The 18,202-nt window shown below is 39.3% G+C and overlaps 1 protein-coding gene across 2 annotated transcripts in view; it reads left to right on the top strand.

Moving 5' to 3' along the window:
• The window catches only part of FBN2 (fibrillin 2), a 280,337-nt gene that overhangs the window by 237,986 nt on the left and 24,149 nt on the right, over nt 1–18,202 (top strand). For both annotated transcript variants that reach the window (XM_017009228.3, NM_001999.4), the window contains 7 exons: nt 8,606–8,731; nt 9,376–9,528; nt 10,313–10,378; nt 11,008–11,133; nt 11,703–11,822; nt 12,830–12,952; nt 13,411–13,542. In XM_017009228.3, coding sequence (XP_016864717.1) covers nt 8,606–8,731; nt 9,376–9,528; nt 10,313–10,378; nt 11,008–11,133; nt 11,703–11,822; nt 12,830–12,952; nt 13,411–13,542 — 846 coding nt within the window. The remainder of the gene's footprint in view (nt 1–8,605; nt 8,732–9,375; nt 9,529–10,312; nt 10,379–11,007; nt 11,134–11,702; nt 11,823–12,829; nt 12,953–13,410; nt 13,543–18,202) is intronic.

Genomic DNA, 18,202 nt, shown 5'->3' with positions numbered 1-18,202 from the left:
ACCTTTTTTACAGTTCACTTTATTTCACTTTTATACAAATTATTTTTTACAGCCTTGTTGAAATTCAGAAGCACCAGCATTTTAGTGTGGTTTTTCTAACGTGAAAAGATGCTAAGGATATTTTCTGCCTTTGAATTATCCAATTCTATCGCCCTTGGCAAGATTCTACCTAAAGATATGTCATTCTACTGTTCATATTTAAGGGAGTTAAATAGGGCAGAAGGAAGTAGTTTACTTCATAGAATTTAATTATTCTTCAGACCACATAATTAGATACCATGGGTATCCCCTAGTCATTCTGATTTTCTGATTTGTATAGTTCATTATAAGACTAGTGTTTTTAATACTTAAAAAATAATAAACAATAATACTAGAATCATCTCAGTGAGAAGTTTCTTGAAAAGTTTAAGGGGGGAGGAGCCAAGATGGCCAAATAGGAACAGCTCCGGTCTACAGCTCCCAGCATGAGTGACGGAGAAGACGGGTGATTTCTGCATTTCCATCTGAGGTGCTGGGTTCATCTTACTAGGGAGTGCCAGACAGTGGGCGCAGGTCAGTGGGTGCATGCACTGTGCACGAGCCAAAGCAGGGCGAGGCATTGCCTCACTCGGGAAGCGCAAGGGGTCAGGGAGTTCCCTTTCCTAGTCAAAGAAAGTGGTGACAGACGGCACCTGGAGAATCGGGTCACTTCCACCCGAATACTGCGGTTTTCCGACGGGCTTAAAAAACGGCGCACCAGGAGATTATATCCCGCACATGGCTCGGAGGGTCCTATGCCCATGGAGTCTCACTGATTGCTAGCACAGCAGTCTGAGATCAAACTGTGAGGCTGGGGGAGGGGCGCCCACCATTGCCCAGGCTTGCTTAGGTAAACAAAGCAGCCCGGAAGCTCGAACTGTTTGGAGCCCACCACAGCTCAAGGAGGCCTGCCTGCCTCTGTAGGCTCCACCTCTGGGGGCAGGGCACAGACAAACAAAAAGACAGCAGTAACCTCTGCAGACTTAAATGTCCCTGTCTGACAGCTTTGAAGAGAGCAGTGGTTCTCCCAGCACGCAGCTGGAGATCTGAGAACGGGCAGACTGCCTCCTCAAGTGGGTCCCTGACCCCTGACCCCCGAGCAGCCTAACTGGGAGGCACCCCCCAGCAGGGGCAGACTGACACCTCACACGGCCCAGTACTCCAACAGACCTGCAGCTGAGGGTCCTGTCTGTTAGAAGGAAAACTAACAGAAAGGACATCCACACCAAAAGCCCATCTGTACATCACCATCATCAAAGACCAAAAGTAGATAAAACCACAAAGATGGGGAAAAAACAGAGCAGAAAAACTAGAAACTCTAAAAAGCAGAGCGCCTCTCCTCCTCCAAAGGAACGCAGTTCCTCACCAGCAACAGAACAAAACTGGACGGAGAATAACTTTGACGAGCTGAGAGAAGAAGGCTTCAGACGATCAAATTACTCCGAGCTATGGGAGGACACTCAAACCAAAGGCAAAGAACTTGAAAACTTTGAAAAAAATTTAGATGAATGTATAACTAGAATAACCAATACAGAGAAGTGCTTAAAGGAGCTGATGGAGCTGAAAACCAAGGCTCGAGAACTACGTGAAGAATGCAGAAGCCTCAGGAGCTGACGCGATCAACTGGAAGAAAGGGTATCAGCGATGGAAGATGAAATGAATGAAATGAAGTGAGAAGGGAAGTTTAGAGAAAAAAGAATAAAAAGAAATGAGCAAAGCCTCCAAGAAATATGGGACTATGTGAAAAGACCAAATCTACGTCTGATTGGTGTACCTGAAAGTGACGGGGAGAATGGAACCAAGTTGGAAAACACTCTGCAGGATGTTATCCAGGAGAACTTCCCCAATCTAGCAAGGCAGGCCAACATTCAGATTCAGGAAATACAGAGAACGCCACAAAGATACTCCTCGAGAAGAGCAACACCAAGACACATAATTGTCAGATTCACCAAAGTTGAAATGAAGGAAAAAATGTTAAGGGCAGCCAGAGAGAAAGGTCAGGTTACCCTCAAAGGGAAGCCCATCAGACTAACAGCGGATCTCTCGGCAGAAACTCTACAAGCCAGAAGAGAGTGGCGGCCAATATTCAACATTCTTAAAGAAAAGAATTTTCAACCCAGAATTTCATATCCAGCCAAACTAAGCTTCATAAGTGAAGGAGAAATAAAATACTTTACAGACAAGCAAATGCTGAGAGATTTTGTCACCACCAGGCCTGCCCTAAAAGAGCTCCTGAAGGAAGTGCTAAACATGGAAAGGAACAACCGGTACCAGCCGCTGCAAAATCATGCCAAAATGTAAAGACCATCGAGACTAGGAAGAAACTGCATCAACTAACGAGCAAAATAACCAGCTAACGTCATAATGACAGGATCAAATTCACACATAACAATATTAACTTTAAATGTAAATAGACTAAATGCTCCAATTAAAAGACACAGACTGGCAAATTGGATAAAGACTCAAGACCCATCAGTGTGCTGTATTCAGGAAACCCATCTCACGGGCAGAGACACACATAGGCTCAAAATAAAAGGATGGAGGAAGATCTACCGAGCAAATGGAAAACAAAAAAAGGCAGGGGTTGCAATCCTAGTCTCTGATAAAACAGCCTTTAAACCAACAAAGATCAAAAGAGACAAAGAAGGCCATTACTTAATGGTAAGGGATCAATTCAACAAGAAGAGTGAACTGTCCTAAATATATATGCACCCAATACAGGAGCACCCAGATTCATAAAGCAAGTCCTGAGTGACCTACAAAGAGACTTAGACTCCCACACATTAATAATGGGAGACTTTAACACCCCACTGTCAACATTAGACAGATCAACGAGACAGAAGGTCAACAAGCATACCCAGGAATTGAACTCAGCTCTGCACCAAGCGGACCTAATAGACATCTACAGAACTCTCCACCCCAAATCAACAGAATACACATTTTTTTCAGCACCACACCACACCTATTCCAAAATTGACCACATACTTGGAAGTAAAGCTCTCCTCAGAAATGTAAAAGAACAGAAATTATAACAAACTATCTCTCAGACCACAGTGCAATCAAACTAGAACTCAGGATTAAGAATCTCACTCAAAACCGCTCAACTACATGGAAACTGAACAACCTGCTCCTGAATGACTACTGGGTACATAACGAAATGAAGGCAGAAATAAAGATGTTATTTGAAACCAGCGAGAACAAAGACACAACATACCAGAATCTCTGGGACACATTCAAAGCAGTGTGTAGAGGGAAATTTACAGCACTAAATGCTCACAAGAGAAAGCAGGAAAGTTCCAAAATTGACACCCTAACATCACAATTAAAAGAACTAGAAAAGCAAGAGCAAACACATTCAAAAGCTAGCAGAAGGCAAGAAATAACTAAAATCAGAGCAGAACTGAAGGAAATAGAGACACAAAAAACCCTTCAAAAAATTAACGAATCCAGGAGCTGGTTTTTTGAAAGGATCAACAAAATTGATAGACCACTAGCAAGACTAATAAAGAATAAAAGAGAGAAGAATCAAATAGATGCAATAAAAAATGATAAAGGGGATATCACCATCGATCCCACAGAAATACAAACTACCATCAGAGAATACTACAAACACCTCTACACAAATAAACTAGAAAATCTAGAAGAAATGGATAAATTCCTTGACACATACACTCTCCCAAGACTAAACCAGGAAGAAGTTGAATCTCTGAATAGACCAATAACAGGTTCTGAAATTGTGGCAATAATCAATAGCTTACCAACCAAAAAGAGTCCAGGACCAGATGGATTCACAGCCGAATTCTACCAGAGGTACAAGGAGGAACTGGTACCATTCCTTCTGAAACTATTCCAATCAATAGAAAAAGAGGGAATCCTCCCTAACTCATGTTATGAGGCCAGCATCATCCTGATACCAAAGCCGGGCAGAGACACAACCAAAAAAGAGAATTTTAGACCAATATCCTTGATGAACATTGATGCAAAAATCCTCAATAAAATACTGGCAAACCAAATCCAGCAGCACATCAAAAAGCTTATCCACCATGATCAAGTGGGCTTCATCCCTGGGATGCAAGGCTGGTTCAATATATGCAAATCAACAAATGTAATCCAGCATATAAACAGAACCAAAAACAAAAACCACATGATTATCTCAAAAGATGCAGAAAAGGCCTTTGACAAAATTCAACAGTGCTTCATGCTAAAAACTCTCAATAAATTAGGTATTGATGGGACGTATCTCAAAATAGTAAGAGCTATCTATGACAAACCCACAGCCAATATCATACTGAATGGGCAAAAACTGGAAGCATTCCCTTTGAAAACTGGCACAAGACAGGGATGCCCTCTCTCACCACTCCTATTCAACATAGTGTTGGAAGTTCTGGCCAGGGCAATCAGGCAGGAGAAGGAAATAAAGGGTATTCAATTAGGAAAAGAGGAAGTCAAATTGTCCCTGTTTGCAGACGACATGATTGTATATCTAGAAAACCCCATTGTCTCAGCCCAAAATCTCCTTAAGCTGATAAGCAACTTCAGCAAAGTCTCAGGATACAAAATCAATGTACAAAAATCACAAGCATTCTTATACACCAACAACAGACAAACAGAGAGCCAAATCATGAGTGAACTCCCATTCACAATTGCTTCAAAGAGAATAAAATACCTAGGAATCCAACTTACAAGGGATGTGAAGGACCTCTTCAAGGAGAACTACAAACCACTACTCAAGGAAATAAAAGAGGATACAAACAAGTGGAAGAACATTCCATGCTCATGGGTAGGAAGAATCAATATTGTGAAAATGGCCATACTGCCCAAGGTAATTTACAGATTCAATGCCATCCCCATGAAGCTACCAATGCCTTTCTTCACAGAATTGGAAAAAACTACTTTAAAGTTCATATGGAACCAAAAAAGAGCCCGCATCACCAAGGCAATCCTGAGCCAAAAGAACAAAGCTGGAGGCATCACACTACCTGACTTCAAACTATACTACAAGGCTACAGTAACCAAAACAGCATGGTACTGGTACCAAAACAGAGATATAGATCAATGGAACAGAACAGAGCCCTCAGAAATAACGCCGCATATCTACAACTATCTGATCTTTGACAAACCTGAGAAAAACAAGCAATGGGGAAAGGATTCCCTATTTAATAAATGGTGCTGGGAAAACTGGCTAGCCATATGTAGAAAGCTGAAACTAGATCCCTTCCTTACACCTTATACAAAAATCAATCCAAGATGGATTAAAGACTTAAACGTTAGACCTAAAACCATAAAAACCCTAGAAGAAAACCTAGGCATTACCATTCAGGACATAGGCATGGGCAAGGACGTCATGTCCAAAACACCAAAAGCAATGGCAACAAAAGACAAAATTGACAAATGGGATCTAATTAAACTAAAGAGCTTCTGCACAGCAAAAGAAACTACCATCAGAGTGAACAGGCAACCTACAAAATGGGAGAAAATTTTCGCAACCTACTCTGACAAAGGGCTAATATCCAGAATCTACAATGAACTCAAACAAATTTACAAGAAAAAAACAAACAACCCCATCAAAAAGTGGGCAAAGGACATGAACAGACACTTCTCAAAAGAAGACATTTATGCAGCCAAAAAACACATGAAAAAATGCTCACCATCACTGGCCATCAGAGAAATGCAAATCAAAACCACAATGAGATACCATCTCACACCAGTTAGAATGGCAATCATTAAAAAGTCAGGAAACAACAGGTGCTGGGGAGGATGTGGAGAAATAGGAACACTTTTACACTGTTGGTGGGACTGTAAACTAGTTCAACCGTTGTGGAAGTCAGTGTGGCGATTCCTCAGGGATCTAGAACTAGAAGTACCATTTGACCCAGCCATCCCATTACTGGGTATATACCCAAAGGACTATAAATCATGCTGCTGTAAAGACACATGCACACGTATGTTTATTGCGGCATTATTCACAATAGCAAAGACTTGGAACCAACCCAAATGTCCAACAATGATAGACTGGATTAAGAAAATGTGGCACATATACACCATGGAATACTCTGCAGCCATAAAAAATGATGAGTTCATGTCCTTTGTAAGGACATGGATGAAATTGGAAATCATCATTCTCAGTAAACTATCGCAAGAACAAAAAACCAAACACCGCATATTCTCACTCATAGGTGGGAATTGAACAATGAGAACACATGGACACAGGAAGGGGAACATCACACTCTGGGGACTGTGGTGGGGTCGGGGGAGGAGGGAGGGATAGCATTGGGAGATATACCTAATGCTAGATGACGAGTTAGTGGGTGCAGCACACCAGCATGGCACATGTATACATATGTAACTAACCTGCACATTGTGCACATGTACCCTAAAACTTAAAGTATAATAATTAATTAATTAATTAAAAAAAAGAAAAGTTTAAGATCCTGTTGTTCTTCCATTTTCTTTGCTCATGCTCAATCTTGATTCTTCTTTGTCTCTGTGATCCTTCTCTTTATGGAATGCTAATAAAAGTAGTGTGTCAGCCACTAGGAGGGAAATAGAAATACATATGCCTCCTTGTATTAGGCAGTCTTGGCTACCTTTCCTCTTAATGAAAGTATGGATAGCTTTTATTTCATTAAGATATCATATATTATTATTTATTAAGTTTCAGAAATATTTCGTTTTCCTTCATCTATCGTTAGCAATGACACTAGTTTGCATCTCTGAAAAAATGGTTTTAATTTATTACTTTTTTTTTTTGAGACGGAGTCTCGCTCTGTCACTCAGGCTGGAGTGCAGTGGCATTATCTTGGCTCACTGCAACCCCCACCTCCTGGGTTCAAGTGATTCTCCTGCCTCAGCCTCCCAAGTAGCTGGTATTACAGGTGCCCACCACCACGCCTGGCTAATTTTTGTACTTATAGTAGAGACGGTGTTTCACCATGTTGGCCAGGCTGGTCTCGAACTCCTGACCTCAAGTGATCCACTGGCCTCGGCCTCCCAAAGTGTGAAAAAATGGTTTTTAATTAACTTACTTCACTGTAAGATTTTCTTCAGACTAGTATCTTTTCTACCAACTTTTCCCAGATGACATTCTAACATGACCACACACACACATACACAGACATAGATATGTGTACACATACCCTGCACAGATATAAATTCATTCCTACATTCAGTGGGTATGACAGTGAACATTTGGCACCTTTCTAGGTGCTAGAAATACAGGAACATCATCTTTGCTTTGGGGTAACTTACTACCTAAGGGGAGAGACCTATTTTGTAAATAAACCTGTTTTGTGAAGACATCCTTATAATACAATGTGACAGACATTGTACTGGAGGTCTGTTCAGGAGATGGGAGCACCGCAGGAGGTTAGGGATCATTATGGTAGTTGTGAGAGGGTGGCAGTTCAAGAAAGCCTGTCACAGAGGATTGATGATTGTCTAGGTCACTCTTAAATGTTGGATAGGATTTTACTGATCAACCAAAGAAAGAGAACAGAAGAGGCTATTTGGAAACATAGGCAGCATGAGCACGACAAGGAGCATAGAATGGCTGGCTCAGAAGATTGAACTCAGGCCTGCGGTCAGCGTGGAGCCATTGCAGGAGTTGTTGTGTTTGTTTTTTTTGTTGTTGGTGGTGGTGGCGGTGGTGTTGGTTTCTGCAGTTTTTTGTTGTTTTATAGAAGGGATGTGATGACTCTTTTGTTAAACTTCTACCAACATAAATTGAGAACTTGTGTGTGCCAGATACCGTGCTAGGAGCTAAAGGTGCAACAGCGAGCCAGACAGACATGTCATGTCCTCATGGAGCTTACGTTCTAATGTGCCTGAAAAGTAGTATTTTTTCATGTGATTAAAACATTCCATTAAATAAGTACTTCCCACAAAAAAAACGACGAAAAATCACTAGTCAGGCAGGCATGCTTATTTATTTTAAGGAAGCGTTCTGGGGAAAGGGGGAAATGATAACACTGTCAAAATATGTCTCAGCCCTCCATTTCCATAGGCACAGATTTTCAAATGTAATCAGATGGACGTTTTAGAAAGGCAGCCCTGGTGGCAATGTGACAAGAAGAAGACATTCAGGAGATGTAGACATCAGTTGAGAGACTGGTGGCAAATGATGATGGCTGTGGAAGTACTGAGGAGGTAGAAATGGCTGCCACATTCTGCTTGCATGTGGAGTGAAAAAAGGAGAGAAATAGGGGTGACATGGGGATCACAATTTGGATTACTGAGAGAGAGTTATCAGGGAGAAGGGGACCAGTTCATAGAACATTTGGCCACATGGAGCCTGCAATGCCCATGAGACATGGAGTTGTTCATGTCAGGTAGGCAGGTAGACATACATACACCCCTAAAGATCAAAGACAGGAAGGTGGACATGGACTTGGGACTCTCTGGCACATGGTTGGTTGAAATTACAACTTTTGACTTCTGAAGCAATAATAGTTTATTTTTATGAATAAGTTAAACATACAACGTAATATCTCTTGTCTGAAATATCAGCTGGCTAGTGGACAGTGATAGTATGGACAATTGTTTATTTTCAAGTGTTGAATGGCTAATAAATACTCCCCCTGTTCTGCAGATATAAATGAATGTGATGAAGATCCCAACATTTGTCTTTTTGGTTCCTGTACTAATACTCCAGGGGGCTTCCAGTGCCTCTGCCCCCCTGGCTTTGTACTATCTGATAATGGACGGAGATGCTTTGGTAAGATTTGGCATGACTTCACTGTCACAGTTCACGCTTAGAAACTTTAAAGCTGAATTGTAAACCATCATGCTGGTATTAGTCCTAACAAAATACATGTCTATGCTAAAATACATCTGCAAGTTAAAAATTTAGGTCTCAAACATAAGCAATGAACAATTTTTAAGGTACTTTGAATTATTGCCACTGTTTCTACATTTTTATAAATTTTTTTACTAAAAGAAAAATTCTTATTCTGATTTATCAGAATGACTATGTTAATTTTGTTGTTGTCATAGCTTTTTTGTTTGTTGGTGTATGTGATGCTTTTGATGTGATGTAACTTACTGAAAGTTACCTTGATTGTTTTTCTTAGACTATCATGCAACAGTGAAAAAAGAGACTCTGTGTGGAAATCACTTTGATACTGAGCATGATTTCTCGAATTTTCTTAGCACATTATAAAAATATTTTAAGCATATTAAATAATTAAATAATTTTATAGCCAGGTCAGTCTAAATTGGCAAATGAAATCAGCAATCGAAGATTTCCAGACCTGCCTTAACTGCTGATCTAGTCTGCATCCCGTGTTCTACAATGAGAAATGTTCTGTCCAAACAGTGTTACAAAATAATTCCATCTGTAATGTTTGCTTTTTTGATTAGATACTCGCCAGAGCTTCTGCTTCACAAATTTTGAAAATGGAAAGTGTTCTGTACCCAAAGCTTTCAACACCACAAAAGCAAAATGCTGCTGTAGTAAGATGCCAGGAGAGGGCTGGGGGGACCCCTGTGAGCTGTGCCCCAAAGACGATGAAGGTAAGAGCAATGACATCATCAGACAGCACTTTGTGTACCAGTTTTTGAATGTTTGCCAGAGTGGGTTTAACCATGTAATTTAAGAATATTTTGAGAGTGAAATCATCTCCTTGCATATAAGTTTTGATGGTTCATTGAACAACCTAGCCTGAGAAACTTCTTTCAGCTTTTGAATAAGACATGTCTAAGCACAGGTGGAGTTACCCTTTTATTTCATTCCCCACCTCCAAGGTTAGTATTACTTGCTTTCAAAAGTACGAATTTGAGAGGTCCAAGGCAGGAGAAAGAAGGGAATGGAAATTATATTCCAGGTTGCTCCAGGAGTCCCATGTGGGCATTGTATCACAGGCTGTGGCTCTCAGAATGTTACATTAAATTCTGAGAAGCTGAGTCAGCACAATGGCCCTTTACAGGAAAAGATCAATAGCCTCAGGTCTCATTGGCACCCATAAATTATAGGATAATTCCCAGCAAACTCCAGCTGGCTTGGCCTCTGGGTTAGGGATGGCTTCTGAGTGTGATGGGCAGGGAAGTTCTCTTTAGCTGCTCAGCTTTAAATGAGCAAACAGAAAGAACCAGGAGCACTGAGCAGGTGGCACCCTAGAAGGTGGCCCTCACTAAATATGCTTTTGAAATAAATCATAAAAATAAAAGAGTCTTGTTATAGACAGCTTTGTAATGGAAACATAATTAAGTGTAATTTCATGTATATTGTTCATCCTTTCTTAAGTTCTTTGATAATTTCAAGTCTTCAATAATGGAGAATTTGTATTTTTCTTTGTAGTTGCATTTCAGGATTTGTGTCCATATGGCCATGGAACTGTCCCTAGTCTTCATGATACACGTGAAGGTACGCTTTGATATATTTTATTCCTATATTCTTATTTAATACACACGTATTATTTTACATTTATTTTATAACTCATGCTAACTTTACTATGTAACATATAGTATATTGTATTTAATGGATGTATATAACCCTTATTTTGTATCATATACATTATACATATATCATAAGATTATATCGTGATATATGAAATACATATTTCTCTGACAAAAGAAGTATTTACAAGTCTGTGTTGAATAGACATACACAGTACTGGCATATCTTTTTATTTTTATTTTATTTATTTATTTATTTATTTTGAGGTGGAGTCTCACTCTGTTGCCCGCTGGAATGCAGTGGTGCGATCCAGCTGACTGCAACCTCCACTTCCTGGGTTCAAGTGATTCTCCTGCCTCAGTCTCCCCAAGTAGCTGGGACTACAGGTGTGCGCCACCATGCCTGGCTAATTTTTTTTTGTATTTTTAGTAGAGATGGGGTTTCGCCATGTTGCCCAGGCTGGTCTCAAGCTCCTGACCTCAGGTGATCCACCCACCTCGGCCTCCCAAAGTGCTGGGATTTATAAGCATGAGCCACTGCGCCTGGCCGGCATATCTTTTTATATGAGGAAATTCACATGCAGTTCTATATTTTAGATGTCAATGAGTGTCTTGAGAGCCCAGGCATTTGTTCAAATGGTCAATGTATCAACACCGACGGATCTTTTCGCTGTGAATGTCCAATGGGCTACAACCTTGACTACACTGGAGTACGCTGTGTGGGTGAGTGTTGGCTCCACATTACAGAATTTTAAAGTTCTATTTTACTTCTCATATTCAGTAAAAGGTCTCTCAGGTACCCTGGGTGATGGGGGGATTTACAAATCCAGGATAAATAGCTAGTAGTGGCACCTTCTTCACCAGTCTTACATTTTCCAGTCAGACCTGATTTATGTGAAGATGGAGAGAGTTAACAACCTCTGTCTTCAACCAAACATACAAAATCTTATGTGTCCTAGAGACTTACAATTGCCAAAATCTCTCATTGGATAAGAAATCCATTTTACTTTATGCCCTTCCATGCCTGCTCTTGAAGCAGAGGACCACATTCTTCTTCTGGATTTGTCATCTTTAGGGCGAGTATTGCTGCCTGGGGGCCAGAGCATTGCACATTGATCCTTCAGACCCTCTGCACTACATAGCTGCCAGCCAGCCAAGGCCCAAGGGATGCCAGGGTTACATGTGCCCTTCTCAGATCCTGGAAATGGGTGAGGGCCAAGCATGGGTCTTCCTGGGCATTCTCCTGTTAAACTAAAACATCTTTGTGGCAGTTTCTTATTCTTCTTTTTCAGATACTGATGAGTGTTCAATCGGCAATCCGTGTGGAAATGGTACATGCACCAATGTTATTGGGAGTTTTGAATGCAATTGCAATGAAGGCTTTGAGCCAGGGCCCATGATGAATTGTGAAGGCAAGTGATCTTTGTCTTAAATATTATTTCTTCTTGACATAGAAAGTGTTTTTTAATGTCTCAATATTTATTTATATTGCTTCTGATATTCTGCTGGTGAGCATACGGTGGGGTTTTTTGTTTTTTGGGTTTTTTGTTTGGTTGGTTGGTTTTTAGTTTTCCTTTAGTACAGTTAAAATAGCTGCTGTAAAGCCCTTGTCTGATCATTCCAGCATCTGGGTCATCTCAGGGTTGGCATCTCTTGATTGTCTATTCCCTTGAAATGGAGTCACAGTTTCCTGCCTTTTCAGTATATTGGTTAATGTTGGATTTATACTCTGGATATTGTGAATGATATGCTTCGAAATCAGTTATATTACTCTGAAGAATATTGATGTATTTGTCTTAGCAGACAGTCAACTCTGGTAGGCACAATAGCAGACCCTCAGGCCTCAGAAGGGCGGTGGCTCATCTGTCAGTTCTTTAAACCTTACTCACTAGCATTCTTGATTTTGCCCCACACATGCATAGTACAGTCATGCCACTTGAGCTGACTAGATGAAAAACAAATAGTATTTCTCCTTCCCTGGCATTCTTTCCTGGGTTCCCTTTCTTTAGCAGACTTGGTTGCCCTAAGATTCCCTCCCCTCCTTCCTCTGGATGGAATCTCAGAAAGTTTCTTCTGGAGAGTTAGCTACCAGATGACAGCACTGCCAGGCCATGGTCATCTGGAGGGTAATTTCAGAAAAATAGAAGCCAAATCAATGTGAAATTACTCCCTACTGGTTGTTTGCTCTGAGTTTCAGCTCACCACTAAAAACTTCAGGTACTTTTTATATTCTTTCCGGAGTTTATAGCTGTTATTTTTAAAGATGAGTTTGTTAGGTACTAAATTCTGCGTACCAGATGTGTAAGTTCTACTATTCTATTGCTTTGTGTATGACCGCCAAGTAAATGACATCAACATTTAGTTACACAAATAATTAGAACTCTAGGCTGAGCACATTCCTGTCCATTCCTTTGGTCAGATATCAACGAATGTGCCCAGAACCCACTGCTGTGTGCTTTCCGCTGCATGAACACTTTTGGGTCCTATGAATGCACGTGCCCGATTGGCTATGCCCTCAGGGAAGATCAAAAGATGTGCAAAGGTAAGGCCTCAGACTCGGGAGTAGTTCGAACTTTATTTGTCATGCTGGAGATACATCTTAATGATTTTATAGTTCTCAACTAATTTCTTCTAGAGCTTTACAGAAATATATATATGACAGCATTTTGCTAGTAGATTTCCATACCTAGATAACAAGACACATGATGGTATTTTTGTAAAATCAAGTCCGAGATAAGATGGGTTGAGAAGCCCACTATTCTCACACTCTTGGATTCTTATTAAGGCAAAGATTGCCCTTCCCTAAACTTCTTATCACTATGAGCAGTGCTGAAACTTACACATCTGGAATATAGCCAACAGCTGACAATGGCTGGGCTTCTCCTTTCTCTGTCCCACCATAAAATTACATGTTAAGTGTCAGAAGACCACACCTGTGACTTAAAAGTACTAAACTACAGCTTGCTCCAGATAATTTTTAATTTTTATTTTTTGTTCTAGATCTGGATGAATGTGCTGAAGGGTTACACGACTGTGAATCTAGGGGCATGATGTGTAAGAATCTAATCGGCACCTTCATGTGCATCTGCCCTCCTGGAATGGCCCGAAGGCCCGATGGAGAAGGCTGTGTAGGTAAGCGGTAAGGGAAGGTGTCTGCTTATGTAATGCCTCCACTCCCAGCCTCATTAATGGCACTACTCCCACATCATCTTAACTGCAAGCCAACTCTTTTTCCAGCTGTGTTAAGGCAGTGATACAGCTAGCTTTCTTCCATCTCAGGGTCTCTGCTAATATAATAGGTTCTGGATTGTGGCATTTATGCCTGCTCAAGAATACATGCCCTTTTGATTTTTCATATTTTAAAGAAAATTGTAAATAAAACTATATGTGTTCTGTAGGTACATATGTAACCAAGTAAATATATAGAAAAACATTGAAAAAGGTAAACCCTAATTCATAGAAGGAATTACTGCTAGGGAAGACATCGAGATTAGAAGTAACTAGTCTGAGGTGATTTTAGCTGTATCTGTCAATTTTAATTATTTTACAAAAGAGTGAGTTTCTGAACTATTCTGAATTACATGTGTCATATAAAAAATTATATATACAACAAATTATAATTGGATTTTTTAGTTTCTTTTCATTTGTTAGATATTTCATTCAAATATAGTACTTAATAAAGTTAAAAATAGACGTACATAGGAGGTGTAGTTATGCAGTGATTCTTTCAAAAACACTATTCTTCCAAGATCTGTTATCCCAGAAGATTAACCTAAACTCCTAAGTCATATGTGTTCCTCCAAATCTAGCACAGGGCAAAATGCTAATAACCATGTATGGAAGAAAGGAAATCAGCATTCTTAATCATCGTGTCTTCTTACTGTACATGAAATTTCTTTTCATTCATTTCTCTTTTAATTTATTTGAATGAAAACAATGTATGTATGTGCTATGTTTAATCAGATTGGCTAAAATACTTAAAAATGTGTTTTAATTTTTATGCATGGAAATTTCTTATTTTTATAACTAGCTGAATTTTATATTATACTATCTTTATTACATTTAAAGATATGTTGTTGGGAAAGAGGGAGTAAGCACTGTGATCAGATTAAGAACACAGGTTTCTGGTCATGGATCTGCCATAAATGATCTGGATGACTTGCAAGTGATTCAATTCTCTGTTCTTCAGTTCCTTCATCTGCATACAGTGAGAAACTTAGTCTGCATGATTGATAGGAGTGGTGGGGGTGGGTGTTGGGAAGGGTGCATCTGCTCTAGCTCTAAAATTCTATCATCCTCTGAACTTACTTTTTCAAAGAAAAGACCAAGAGCAGCATTCTACATTTGTATTCTTTTCGTTGTTAAACAGCACTACAAAAGATACAGGTTCTGAAACTTTTCTGATCTTCAAGCTTTTCATTATACCATGCTGATAGCTGAAATGTCTGCAAAATTTTTTTGATCATCACAAAACTCTTTGTAGAACACTTTCATGCAAACAATGTGTTTTCACAACTAGAAATTCCAGTTTAAAAACAGTAAAAATATTATTACAAAGAAAAAGTATTTACAAAAGTCAGGATGAAAAATAAAGCCACAAAAAAAATCAATAAAAATGCCAATGCATGAAATTGGAATCAAACTTACCCAAAAAAGTCGATTGCAACGGAAACTAAAAGTATTACAGTTAAGGGAATTAAAGTTATACAGGAAATCTAAGACCTCTTTAATGAAAACCATAAACCTAATCAGAGACGGAAACTTGACTATGCAATATATTATGCCTCAGTAATTATTTCTTAAACAAATAAATGAATCAAGAAATCTGATAAGTAGAACATTTTTTTACCAAGATCATTAAATTTTCTTCTTTAGACTTTGGCAGACTGTCCCAATTTTTTAAAGTTTATCCAACAATCTTTGATTAGAAGATCAGGGACATAAGCAAATGAGAAAAGTATGGAGTGTTTTTGTAGAGACCCATTTCTACACTGCAGTGTGAAAATAGGTAGATGCAAAGGAGAAAATACTGGGATGCTATTTAATTATCAACAAACTAGTCTTCTAGACATGGAGACTGCCGGAGGTGAGGCAGGAAGAGGAGAAGCAGCAACTATCAGAGATTCTAAGGCTTTAAGAACTTTATCAGAGCCACACGACTCCCTAAATTACCTGAAAGCCCGAGTGTAGTGCCTCAAGGGTAGAGAGCATGGCAGATTTGGTGAGAGGATGTTCATACAACAAACATGAATTGAAACTACACATTAGGCCCACTTTAGGACCCGTGACCAGCTACACTATTTTTCAGCCAGTAGCTGAACTGGAGAAAATTGTTCAAAGATGAGTAATTACACAAGACCAGTGTAGCTGAAGCTTGTGCAGGAGAGTGGCATGAAGTGGGTCTAAAGGTAGGCAAATACCATGGAAAAGAATTTGGTTTTATGCTAAAAGTGTTACGGCAGAGTGACTCAGAGTATGGGCCCTGGGGATGGACTATGAATGTTAGCAATCTAGGTTCATGTGTGCTAGCTCTGTGACCCTGGGCAAGTTGGCTTAAATATGTGCCTCAGATTCCTCATGTAAAAACAAATAGGAATTTTGAGCACACTTTCATAGGATTATTGGGAGGGTTAAATTAAAAAATTCACATGAAACCCTTAGTACAATGCTTGGCATAGAGTAAAATTTCAATTAAGTATTAGTTGTTATTTCCTATTTTACACATTTTTAAAGATATCTGGCTGCCTTATAGGTAATGGATTTGAAGGAGGTGGTAGCAGAAACAAGGGTTTCATTTAGGTGACTGTCTTAAACATCCAGACGAGAGAAAAAGGAGGCTCAGATTAGGGCCACCATAGTGTGGAAAAGGAGTGGACAGATTCAGAAAATGTATTGGAAATAATCAACAGATTGGATTTCTGATGGATTGATTGAATATGTATAAAAGATAAGTCCCAGGATTTTTGCTTGAGTGACTAAAGTAAATTAGCTTAGTATAATAATTTACTTGATGCTACTGTTAACTGATATGGAAAAGATTGGAAGAAACAGGTTTCGTTGGGGACACAGAAGAATAAAAGTTCTGTTTTGGTCATGCTCAGTGTCAGATATGTTCTAGCTTTCCAAGTGGGAATATCAAGTCAGCAGACATATTTATGAGCCATAGATGTAAATTGCTAGCAAATCGATAGTGTTTGAAAAATTATGGGATTGACTGAGAACACCAAGAGAGAGATCCTGGAGAGTAGGAGGAGCAGGGCTCCTTCCCAGGACACTGGACTCTGGTTGTTCCAATATTTAGAGAGACTAAAAATATTAGGAGACTAAGAAAGAGTAGCCAGCAAGATAGGAAGTTCTCCATGTCCGTGTGATGTCCTGAGAACTAAAGTGGCCGCTTTTGTATGATGCTACTAAGATGTAGAGTAACATAGAGTTGTAATTAGATTTGGTGACTTCTTCAGGAGGTTTCAGTGGAGCACACACATTAAGGAAACAATCAGTGATGAGGAAGTGGAATTTATCGCCATGGATCATTCTTCCAGAAATTTTGTTCTGAAAGTGAATCAATACATGTGGCAGTAGCCACAGGGGTAATAGGTGAATAAGAGAGTTTTTTGTATTGTTTTAAGATGAAAGTTACTAGAGAATTTATGCTGAGGGAATGATTCCTTGAAAAGGGAGTATTGTGAAATCTGGGAAGGCAATCTAGAGTACCGGTGCAAGAGCTGGCCTTGGAGAAAAAACAAAGATAGTTTAGCTGTTGGAAGAAGACAAAAGGTTGAAAGTGAGGGCATAGCCCAGTGGTTCATAGGGGAGAGATGTCTGATGTGTCTGAGTGTGTAATGTCATTTTAGAAAGTGAGAGTGTGAAGATACTAAGAAGTATAGTAGGATTGTTGACGGAGGATCATGTACCCATTTGAGATTTGAGTCTTGAGTCTTGAGTCTCATTGAAATGAAGCCTGTTTTCCTCTAGGCTGTCATGCTGCACTGGATTGGACATAGAGTAGGTAGAAGTAGGGGAGCATCGGACAAGAGTGATGGACAATGGAAAGGTCGATAATTGACAATCCTGCTGCAGCCCACAAATTGTCAAAGGGTAGAAAGTACAATGCTGGAAATCAACATTATTTAGGTAGAGCAACATCACTCCAAGATACACCCTATTAAAGTTACAAATTTCAACAGAAAAAAGAATCAGGCAACTTTTTTTCAACCTCTTCTCAGTAATTCTTTATGCCAATGTCAATAAAGCAAAATTAATCTAAGAATTTGAAGCACAAATTATGTACTACAGAAGAAACTGTATTATACATAATCAAACTTGGAAGAACTCAGGCAGTATATCCTGAGTTCTTCCAAGAACGCTTTTAGTTCAAAAGCCCTTTTTGAAAAAAAATAATTCAGACAAATCAAATACAATTCAAAATCAGGGTGAATGACATTAAGGATAGGATTAGACCAAGGCAACAGACCTTGCACCCTCAGATTCTAGAAATAATAAACTAAAAAAACTTTTTAATTCATAACTCATTACTTTTGTATATACCTTTAAATTTCTGAAGTAAGTGTTTTTTTCTAAAAAAGGAAAAAAATAATCACAGGAGGCACATCATGGTGAATTTCAAAACACTAAGAAGAAAATGAAAATCCTTAAAACTTCCAGAGAGAAAAACCAGATTTCTTACAAATGAACAGTAACACTGGTTTAAAAAATAATAATAAAGGAGCTGTATTTTGAAAGCATTCTAAGGGAAAATAATTTTGAACTAAAATGCTATACTCAATCAAGT

Source organism: Homo sapiens, chromosome 5 (genome assembly GCF_000001405.40).
Source record: "Homo sapiens chromosome 5, GRCh38.p14 Primary Assembly".
Taxonomy (NCBI): Eukaryota; Metazoa; Chordata; class Mammalia; order Primates; family Hominidae; genus Homo; species Homo sapiens.
The sequence above is the reverse complement of the archived record's forward strand: the minus strand, read 5'-3'. Positions and strand labels throughout refer to the sequence as shown.